Here is a 12,187-nt window from a genome sequence, read left to right on the forward strand (position 1 = left end):
GTCCTTCCATGTATATCTGGGAATACTGTGTAGGGTCTCTCTGTAAGGACAGGGGCAGTATTGGCTCCTTGGCCTCTAGTTAACCTCACAAGTAGTCTAGTAAAGGCTTTGCAAACTTGTCACCATCTGTGGACATTCTGGCCAGCTCTTGTTTTCACCCTACTGACTTCTTCAGACACTAGGCTTTTGCTTTAGACCATTCATGGTTTTTCTTCCTCTTCAAATCAGTAATCAATAAATACTCTTCAAGTCAATAAATTTCCACTCCTTTAGGAAACCCTGATCTTCGGGTCGCACCACAAGGTTTAATTAACTCGTTTGATTGTTTTTCTGTTTTCTTGGGTTTTTTTTTTTCCTTCTTCCTGGGGGTTTCTAGTAATTCTAGTTTGATGTCTCACTTTCTCCATTTTTTATTTCTTAGTTTTCTTCTGTGATTATTTTCACTGCAGTTGCAGGGCCTAATCCTGGGTTGGCAGAGAACTAGCACTTACTCTGCCCTAATTAGAATCCAGGAGAGATAGGAGGTGCCCTAGTGTGAAAATGTGTTTGCTCCTCTCTGCTTCTGGTAGTCTCTCTGTAGGAGTTCTTTACGTATTCTGAATGTTCACTTCTTATGAGATACATGATGAGCTACTATAGGTTGAATGTCTCTGATCCAAAAATCTGAAATCCCAAATGCTCCAAAGTCTGAAACTTTTTGAGTGCCAACATGACACTCAAAGGAAATGCTTATTGGAGCATCTCAGACTCGGGTGTTTGAATTCGAGATGTTCAACCAGTAAGAATAATGCAAATATTACAAAATCTGAAATACATCCCAAGCATTTCAAATAAGGGACACTCAACTGGTATTTTCTTTTATTCTACAGTTTGCCTTTTACCCTGTTGGTTGTGACCTTTGAGGAACAGAAGTTTTTAGGTTTGATATATTTTTGCTTTTACTGCCTGAGATTTTAATGTCATATCCTAAAAATTATTGACAAATTCAACGTCATAAGGCATTTTCCAAATTTGTTTTCCCTAGGAGTTTGATAGTTCTAGTTTTACATTTAGGTTTATAATTCACTTTGAATTAATTTTAACATGGTGTAAGGTAAGAGTCCAACTTCATTGTTTTGCATGTAGATATACAATTTTCCCAACACCATTTGTTGAAGAAAGTGTCCTTCGCCATTGAGTGGTCTTGGCATCCTTGTGGAAGATCACTGGACCATATATGCCAGGGTTGGTTTCTGAGGTCTCCGTTGTGTTGGTCCATAAGTGGGTCAAGAGTGTCTTTTTGCCATGACCACATATTTTTTTTTTGGCTTATTGTAGTTTTGTAATTGTTTTGAGACCTTTAATTTTGTTTTGTTTCAAGACTGATTTGCCTATTCATGGGCCCCATAGATTCCATATGAATTTTAGGATAGGATTTTCTGTTTATCAAAAATGTCATTGGAATCTTTATAAGGATTGTATTGAATCTAGGTCACTTCGAGTAGCGTTGACATCATTCCAAGATGAAATCTTTTAATCTGTAAACCCAGCTTTTCTTTTCATTTATTTGTGTTTAATTTCTTTTAACAGTGTTTTGTAGTTTTCTGTGTTCAAATCTTTTGCCCTCTTGGTTAAGCTTATTTCTAATTTTCATAATGTTGTTGTAAATGTAATTCTTTTTTTTTTTTTTTTTGAGATGGAGTCTTGCTCTGTCTCCCAGGCTGGAGTACAGTGGCACTATCTCAGGTCACTGCAACCTGCACCTTCCCTATTCAAGCGATTCTCCAACCTCAGCCTCTCAAGTACCTGGGATCACAGGTGCGCGCCACCATGCCAGGCTAATTTTTTGATATCTTTAGTAGAGACAGGGTTTCTCCATGTTGACCAGGCTAGTCTTGAACTTGTGACCTCAGGTGATCTGCCCACTTTGGCCTCCCAAACTGCTGGGATTGCAGGCATGAACCACCGCACCTGGCCAAATATCATTCTTTTTAAAAATTTCTTTTCTTTTGTTTTCTCTTTTCTTTTCTTTTCTTCCTCTCTCTTTCTTTCCTTTCTTTCTTTTTTTTTGAGACCGCATCTCACTCTGTTTCCTAAGCTGGAGTGCAGTGGCACAATCTCAGCTGACTGCAACCTCCACCTTCCAAGTTCAAGCAATTCTCCTGCCTCAGCCTCCCAAGTAGCTGTGACTACAGGTGTCTGCCACTACGCCCAGCTAATTTTTGTATTTTTAATAGAGATAGAGTTTTACTATTTATATTAGAGATGAGGTTGGCCCAGCTGGTCACGAACTCCTGACCTCAGGTGGTCCACCCACCTTGGCCTCCCAAAGTGCTGGGATTACAAGTGTGAGCCACTGCACCTGGCCTCTTTTTAAAATTTTATTTGCAGATTGTTCATTGTTAGTTTATAGAAATGCAACTGACTTGTGTGTGTTACTGTATCCTGAAACTTTGTTGAATTTCATTATTCTACCAGTATTTTGTGGAATTTCAGGATTTTTACACATTACATCCTGTTGTCTGTGAACAAAATTTTGTACTTTTTCCTTTCCAATTTGCATCCTTTTTATTACTTTCTCTTGCCTAATTATTCTGAGTAGAAATTCCAGTACTGTGATGAATAGAAGTGGCAGGAAGAAATGTTGCTATCTTATTCCTGATCCTAGAGGAAAAGATTTTAGTTTTTCACCATTGAGTATGATGTTAGCTGTGAGGCTTTCATGTATAATCTTTATTTATTGAGGAGTTTCCATATATTACTAATTCTTTGAGTGTTTTTATTACAAAAAGTGTTCATCTGGCTCTGGAACCAGATAAACGTTGACCTGATAGAATGGATTGGAATGTCCCCTTCTGGTTTTTGAACATTTTTGGAATATTTTGCAGAGGATTGGCATTAATTCTTCTTGAAATGTTTGGTAAATTTTTCCAGTGAAGTTATCTGGACCTGGAATTTTCTTTTTTGGGGGGTTTTTGATTACTGGTTGAATCTTCTTACTAGTTACAGGTCTCTTTGGATTTTTTATTTCTCCCTGATGCAGTATGGCGGTTTGTGTTTCTAGGAATTTATAAATTTATTCTAGGTTGCCCAGTTTTGTGGCATATGGTTGCTCACATTAGTCTCTTGTAATCTTTTTCATTTTTGTGACATCTGTTGTACTGTCACCTCTTTTATTTAAGATTTTAGCATTTGAGATTTCTCTTTTTTTCTTAATATAGCTGTGAGTTTTAAAATTTTTATTGATCTTTAAAAAAAACAAACTCGGTGTTTTTTTTCCTTTTTTTCTGGTCTTATTCTGCTTATCTCTGCTCTAATCTGTTATTTTCTTCCTTTTGCTTGGTTTGTCATTAGTTTTTTTTTTTCCCCCCTTCAGGTGTAATGTTAGGTTATTGATTTGAGATCTTTCTTCTTTTTAATTTAAGCACCTGCAGCTATAAGCTTCCCTTTAGCATGGGTTTGAGATCTTTCTTATTTTTAATTTAAGCATCTGCAGCTGTAAGCTTCCCTTTAGCACTGCCTTTGTTGCCTCCTCCTGAGTTTGGGTATGTCATGGTTTTCATTTGCTTAAACATTTTTTGTCCTATTGCAATATAATTGTGTTGTTTTTAATAAAGGTAATTAATGAAACCCATAATGAATTGTGCTTCTGTTTTTATAATATTTTAAGCATTCTTAACTCAGAAATGTAAATTTTAGAAAAAAATTCCAGGCCAGGCACAGTGTCTCACACCTGTAATCCCAGCACTTGAGGAGGCCGAGGCGGGAGGATCATCTGAGGTCAGGAGTTGGAGACCAGCCTGGCCAACATGGTGAAACCCTGTCTTTACTAAAAATAGAAAAAAATATATAAAAGTTAGCTGGGTGTTGTGGTGGGTGCCTGTAATCCCAGCTACTCTGGAGGCTGAGGCAGGAGAATCACCTGAATCTGGGAGGCGGAGGTTGCAGTGAGCTGAGATTGCACCACTGCACTCCAGCCTGGGTGACAGAATGAGAGTCCGTCTCAAAAAAAAAGAAAAAAGAAAAATTTCAGACATATTTATTTGTATTTCAATTTAGAAACTATGATCTCCTAAGTGTATTGACACAGGAACCTGACATAAAGATAAAGAATAATAAGCATATAACAAAACGGAAACTTGCAAATACCTGTTTTTTATTAATTTTTAATTATATATATTTAAAAATTGCCGGGTGCAGTGGCTTACATCTGTAATCCCAGCACTTTGGGAGGCTGAGGTGGGCAGATCACATGAGGTCAGGAGTTTGAGACCAGCCTGGCCAACATGGTGAAACCTCATCTCTATTAAAAATCAAAAAATTAGCCAGGCATGATAGCATGCATCTGTATTCCCAGCTACTCGGGAGACTGAGGCAGGAGAATTGCTTGAACATGGGAGGCAGAGGTTGCAGTGAGCCAAGATAGTGCCACTGCACTCCAGTCTGGGTGACAGAGTGAGACTCTGTCTCAAAAAAATAAAAATTGTCTGGGCGCGGTGGCTCACAACTATAATCGCAGCACTTTGGGAAGCTGAGGCAGGCAGATCACGTCAGGAGATCGATACCATCCCGGCTAACACGGTGAAACGCCATCTCTACTAAAAATACAAAAAATTAGTTGGGCGTGGTGGTGGGTGCCTGTAGTTCCAGCTACTCCGGAGGTTGAGGCAGGAGAATGGTGTGCACCTGGGAGGTGGAGCTTGCAGTGAGCCGAGATTGCGCCACTGGACTCCAGCCTGGGTGACAGAGCGAGACTCTGTCTCAAAAAAAAAAAATAAAACAAAATAAAACTAAGGTGTGGTTGACATACAAAAATTACACATATTTAATATATACCGTGTGTGTGTGTGTGTGTGTGTGTGTGTGTGTGTGTGTGTGTGTGTGTTACGGAGGTTTTACTTTTGTTGCCCAGGCTGGAGTGCAGTGACACGATCTCAGCTAGCTGCAACCTCCGCCTCCCGGGTTCAAACAATTCTCCTGCCTCAGCCTCCTGAGTAGCTGGGATCACAGGCGTGCGCCCCCATGCCCGGCTAATTATTGTATTTTTTTAGTAGAGACAGGATTTCATCATGTTGGCCAGGCTGATCTCGAGCTCCTGACCTCAGATGATCCACCTGCCTCGGCCTCCCAAAGTGCTGGGATTACAGGTGTGTGACACCGAATATATACATCTTAATGAGTATAGAGATAAGTATTCGCCCCAGGTCTCATCACAACAAATAATGCCGTAAACTTGACCATCACTCCCCATATATTTCTCATTCTCACCCTTTTTAAAAAATGAGACCGGGAGTGGTGGCTCACGCCTGTAATCCCAGCACTTTGGGAGGCCAAGGCAGGTGGATCATGAGGTCAGGAGATCAAGACCATCCTGGCTAACACAGTGAAACCCCGTTTCTACTAAAAATACAGAAAATTAGCCGGGCATGATGGCGGGCACCTGTAGTCCCAGCTACTCGGGAGACAGAGGCAGGATAATGGTGTGAACTCGGGAGGCAGAGCTTGCAGTGAGCCTAGATCGTGCCACTGCACTCCAGCCTGGGCAACAGAGTGAGAATCTATCTCAAAAAAAAAATGAGATGACCATTTCACCTAAAATATATCCTCTTAAGTTTTTTTTTTAAGTGTACAATACAGGACGGCCATGCATCAGAGATATATCTGGGTTCGGTTCCAGACCACTACAATAAAGTGAGTTATACAATCTCTTTTGGTTTCCCAGTGCATGTAAAAGTATGTTTATATTGTGCTGTATAAAGTGTGCAATAGCATATGTCTACAAAGTGTGCACACTTTAATTTACAAATACTTTATTGTTAACATGTGCTAACAGTCATCTGAGCCTTCAGAAAGCTGCAATCTTTTTTTGTGTGTGTGACAGGGTTTTACTCTGTGGCTCAGGCTGGAGTAATTGCAGCCTCAACCTCATGCTCAATCAAACCCCCACCTCAGACTCCTGACTAGCTGGGACTACAGGTGCATGCAACCATGTCCAGCTAATTTTTGTATTTTTTTTTTGTAGAGATGGGGTTTTGCCATGTTGCTTTGATGTTCTGGGCTCAAGCAATCCACCCACCTTGGCCTCCCAAGGAGTTGGGATGACAGTTGTGAGCCACTGCACCTGGCCAAGTTTCAGTCTTCTTGCTGATGGAGGGTCTTGCCTTAATGTAAGGTGGTGGTTGCTGAGCGTTGGGGTGGCTGTGGCTATTTCTTAAAATAAGACACCATTGAAGTTTGCTGTGTCAATTGACTCTCCCTTTCACAAAAGAATTATCTGTAGCATACGATGTTGTTTGATAGCTTTTTACCCACAGTAGAACTTTCAAAATTGGATTCAATGCTGTCAAACCTTCGTACTGCTGTACCAACTAAGTTTATGTATTATTGTAAACCGTTGGGTTCAATTCTGTCAAGCCCTCCTTCTGCTGTACCAACTAAGTTTATTCTAAATCTGTTGTCATCTCAACATTGTTTACACTGTCTTCACCACGAGTAGATTTCATCTCAAGAAACCACTTTCTTTGCTCATCCGTGGAAGCAACTCATCCACTCACGTTTTCTCTGGAGACTGCTGCAGTCTCGCCAGATCTTCAGGCTCTGTCTCTGATTCTAGTGCTCTTGTTATTTCCACCATATCTGCAGTTACTTCCTCCACAGAAGTCGTGAACCCCTGTGTCATCTGTGAGGGTTGGAATAATCTTCCCAACTTCTCTCTCTCTCTTTTTTTTTTTTTTTTTTGAGATGAAATCTTGCCTGGGCTGGAGTGCAGTGATGCGATCTCAGCTCACTGCAACCTCCACCTCCCGGGTTCAAGCAATTCTCCTGCCTCAGCCTCCCAAGTGTTTGGGATTACAGTCACCCCCGACCAGACCCAGCTAATTTTTTTGTGTGTTTTTAGTACAGACAGGATTTCACTATGTTGGCCAGGCTGGTCTCAAATTCCTGACCTCGTGATCCACTTGCCTTGGCCTCCCAACGTGCTGGGATTACAAGTGTGAGCCACCATGCCCGGCCCCAACTTCTCCTAATGTTGCTATTTTGATCTTCTTTTTTAAATCATGAATGTTCTCAATGGCATCTAGAATGGTGAATCCTTTCCAGTAGGTTTTCAATTATTTTGCCCATATCCATCAAAGGAATCACTTTCTAGAGAAGTTATAGCTTTATGAAATATATTTTTTAAGTGATAAGACTTGAAAGTTGAAATTATTCTTTGATCCAAGGGCACCAGAATGAATGTTGGGTTAGTAGGCATGAAAACAATGTTCAGCTCTTTATACATCTCTGTAAAAGCCCTTGAGTCCAGGGGCATTGTCAGTGAGTGGTAATACTTTGAAAGGAATCTTATTTCTTGAGCAGTAGGTGTCAACAGTGGGCTTAAGATATTCAGTAAACCATATTTGTAAACCGATAGTCTGTCATCCAGGCTTTGTTCCCATTTGTAGAGTATAGGCAGAGCTGTGTTTTATCATAATTCTTCAGGGCCCTTGGATTTTCAGAATAGTAAATCATCATTGGTTTCAAGTTAACATCACCAACTGCATTAGGCCTTAACAAAAGAGTCAGCGTGTCCTTTGAAGCCTTAAATCCAGGCATCAACTCCACTCTAGCTGGGAACATCCTGGATGGCATCTCCTTCTAGTAGAGGGCTGTTTTGTCTCCATTGCAAATCTGTTTAGTGTAGCCATCTTAATCAGTTACCTTCTAGATAGCTTTCTGCAGCTTTTCCATCAGTACTTGCTGCTTTATCTTGTGCTTTTATGTTATGGAGATGACTTTTTTCCTTAAACCTCAAGAAACAAGCTCTTCTAGCTTCAGACTTTTCTTCTGCAGCTGCCTCACCTAAGTCTTCATAGAATTGAAGAGAGGCCGGGTGCGGTGGCTGTCACACCTGTAATCCTAGCACTTTGGGAGGCCGAGGCAGGCAGATCACCTGAGGTCGGGAGTTCAACACCAGCCTGACCAACGTGGAGAAACCCTGTCTCTACTAAAAATACAAAAAATTAGCCAGGCGTGGTGGTGCATGACTGTAATCCCAGCTACTCGGGATGCTGAGGCAGGAGAATGGCTTGAAATTGGGAGGCAGAGGTTGTGATGAGCCAAGATCACACCATTGCACTACAGCTTGGGCAAGAAGAATGAAACTCTGTCTCAAAAACAAAGAAAAATAAGTAAAAAGAGAGTTAGGCTTGGGCTTAATGGAATGTTTTCTGTTTTTTTTTTTTTATCTTCTATCTAGACCAATTAAACTTTCTTCATAACAGCAGCAAGATTGTTTAGCTTTTTATCATTCATGTGTTCACTGGAGTAGTACTTTAAATTTCTTTCCAGAACACTTCCTTTGCATTCACAACTTGGCTAAGTGTTTGTTGCATGAGTTCTAGCTACTGACCTGTCTTGCTTACAGCATGCCTTCCTCACTAAGCTTAATTATTTCTTCCTTTTGGTTTAAAGTGACAGACATGCAACTCTTCTTTCGCTTGAACATATAGAGGCTATTGTAGGGTTATTAATTGGCCACATTTTAATATTAATAAAAAGAAGCCTGAGAAAAAGTGAGAGAAAGAGAAATGTCCCATTGGTGGGGCAGTCAGAACAAACGCATTTGTCAATTGTTTGCTGTCTTATCCTGGTGTGATTTGTGGTTCCCAAAACAATGACAACAGTAGCATTAAGGATCACTCCTTACAGATCACCACAACAGATTCAATAATAAAAAGCTTAAAATACTGTGAGAATAACCGAAATGTGACACAGAGACATGAAGTGAGCACGTGCTGTAGGAACAATTGTGCCAGTGAGACCTGCTTATTGCAGGGTGGCCACAAACCTTCAATATGTAAAACACATGGTCACAAAACACAATAAAGCAAAGTGCAGTGAAACAAGATGTGTCTGTCTTTTGATAGACTCTGACAATCTCTATCTTTGAATTGGTACATTCATACCATTAACATTCAAAATGATTATTGATATCATTGGATTAATATCTACTATATTTGTTACTGTTTTCTATTCATTCTCCTCAGTCTTCATTCTTTTTTCTACCACTCTTTTTCTGCCTTTTGCAGTTTTCATTGATGATTTTAGATGACTCCTGTCTTTCTTAGCACGTACTTCTCTTTTTAAAACTTTTTTTTTAACCAGTTGCCACAGAATTTGCAATATACATTTACAACAAATTCAAGTCCACTTTCAAATAACACTATCCCACTATCCCACAAATAAGACTACCTGCTCAACAAACAAAACACCTAATTCCTCAGTAACATTTACAACCAATTCAAGTCCACTTTCAAATAACACTATCCCACTTAACGGGTGACTACCTGCTTAACAAAGAAAACACCTGATTCCTCCCTCCCATCCTTCCATTCCATTCCTTGTATTATTGTTCCTTATTTCACTTGTGTATAAGCATACATAATCTATTTGTGTGTATTTATTATTATCTACAAACTTATTGGTCAAATCAATTATGAATAAATACATGTTTTTATTGTACCACAATTCCTCCCTCCCATCCTTCCATTCCATTCCTTGTATTAGTGTTACTCATTTCACTTGTGTATAAGCATACATAATCTATCTGTGTGTATTTGTTATTGTCTATGAACTTCTTGGTCAGATCAATTAAGAATAAATACATAGGTTTTTATTGTACCACAATTCTTTCTTTAATGCTCTTTTTAAAAAAATGTTGATCCAGGTTTCAGTTATATATCTTTTGTTTCCCTCTAAAGAATTTCATTTAACATTTCTTGCAAGACAGGTCTCCTGGCAACAAGTTTCTTGAATTTTTATTTTTCTGAGGAAGGCCTTAATTCTCCTTCACTTTTGAAGGGTGGTTTCAGTGGGTACAGAAACTTAGGTTGGTGGGTTTTTTTCTGTCAACATTTTGAATTTTTCATTTCACTGTCTTGCTTTCACAGTTTCTGCAATGTTGAATGCAGTTCTTATCTTTGTGTCTCTGTAGGTAAGGTGTTTTCTGCCCCACTTCTGGTTTCTTTCAGAGTTTTCCTTTATCTTTTATTTCATATAGTTTGAAAATTATATGTCCAAGTGTAGGTTGTTGGCATTTATTCTGCCTGGTGTTCTCAGAGCTTCCTGGATCTTTGGTTTGGTGTCTGACATTAACACTGGAAGTTCTCAGACATGGTTGTTGCAGAACTTTCTTCTATTTCTTCTCCTCCTGGTATTCTCATTACTCTGTTTCACCTTTTGTAGTTGTCCCACAGTCTTGGATATCATCTTCTGTTCTTTTCAGTGTGTCTTTTCTTTAGTTTTCGAAATTTCTGATGATAAATCCTCAAGCTCAGAGATTCTTTACTCGGCTGAGTCCAGTCTACTAATAAGCCATCAGAGGTATTCTTCAGTTATTTACCACATTTTTTATCACTACATTATGTTGAAGGTTCTTACGATGTCTGTCTTTCTGATTACATTACCCATCTACACTTGAATGCTGTCTACTTCATTCGTTAGGTCCTTAGCATAGTCTCCAGAGGTTTAAAAAAAATTCCAAAATCATATCTTTGTCTGCTTCTGAAGCTTGCTCTGTTGACACAAATTGTAGTTTTTTCTTTTTTTGGATTTTAGTATGCCTTGCAATTTTTTCCCTTTATTCTCATGCATGAAGCACCCACTAAAAGTGACTGTTGTTAGTATAGCTTCAGTAATGCGGTGATGAGGTGACAGGGCAGGTGATGCTCTCTTAGTCTCTTTAGGCTACTATAACAAAATACTTTAGACTGAGTAATTCATAAACAACAGAGATTATTGCTCACAGATCTGGAGGCTGGAAAGTTCAAGACTAAAGGGCCAGGATATTTGGTGTTTGGTGAAGGTCAAACATTCAGACACTCGCAATGAATATAGCGACAGCAGCAGTCTTCAGGAATCCTATGTGAGGGACAAACACTCAGAAGCCAGCTGGAGTGTTCTAGAATCCTATGTGAGGGACAAACATTCAGACCCCAGCAGTAGTGTTGTGGAATCCTATGTGAGGGACAAACTTTCAAACCCTTGTAACAGTGTTCTGGAATCCTATATGAGGGACAAAAATTCAGAACCTCGTAGCAGTGTTCTGGAATCCTATGTGAGGGACAAACATTCAGAGCCCAGCAGCAGTGTTCTGGAATCCTATGTGAGGGACAAACATTCAGACCACAGCAGGAGTGCTCTGTAATCCTATGTGAGGGACAAACATTTCAAAACCTCATAGCAGTGTGCTGAAATGTTATGTCAGGGACAGACATTTAGACCCTCGCAGCAGTGTTCTAGAATCCCATCTGCGGGACAAACATTCAGACACTCGCAGCAGTGTTCTGGAATTCTATGTGAGGGACAGACATTCAAACCCCAACAGCAGTGTTCTAGAATCCTATGTGAGGGACAGACGTTCAGACCCCAGCAGCAGTGTTCTGGAATCCTATGTGAGGGGCAAACATTCAGACCCTCATAGCAGTGTTCTGGAATGCTATGTGAAGGGAAAACATTGAGACCCTCCTAACAGTGTTCTGGAATCCTATGTGAAGGACAGACATTTAGACCCTCGAAACAGTGTTCTGGAGTCTTAAGTGAGAGACAAACATTCAGACCCTCGTAGCAGTATTCTGGAATCCTTTTTGAGGGACAGACATTGAGAAACCAGCAGCAGTGGTCTGGAATCCTATTTTAGGGGCAAACATTCACACCCCAGCAACAGTGTTCTAGAATCCTATGTGAGGGGAAAACATTCAGACCACGGCAGCAGTGCTCAGGAATCCTATGTGAGGGACAAACATTCAAACCACAGCAGGAGTGTTCTGGAATCCTATGTGAAGGACAAACTTTCAGACCACAGCAGGAGTGTTCTTAAATCCTATGTGAAGGACAAACATTCAAACCCCAAGAGCACTGTTCTGAAATCCTATGATAAGGGCTAAAACTCAGACCCCAACATGAATGTTCTGGAATCCTATGTGAGGGACAAGCATTAAGACCATAGCAGGAGTATTCTGCAATCCTATGTGAGGGACAAACATTCAGACCCCAGAAGGAGTGTTCTGGAATCCTATGTGAAGGACAAACATTCAGACCCTCGTAGCAGTGTTCTGGAATCCTATGTGAGGGAAAAACTTTCAGACCACAGCAGGAGTGCTCGGGAATCCTATGTGAGGGACAAACATTCAGAACCTTGTAGCAGTGTTCTGGAATCCTATGTGAG

The sequence above is a fragment of the Homo sapiens genome (genome assembly GCF_000001405.40).
Source record: "Homo sapiens chromosome 4 unlocalized genomic scaffold, GRCh38.p14 Primary Assembly HSCHR4_RANDOM_CTG4".
Taxonomy (NCBI): domain Eukaryota; kingdom Metazoa; phylum Chordata; class Mammalia; order Primates; family Hominidae; genus Homo; species Homo sapiens.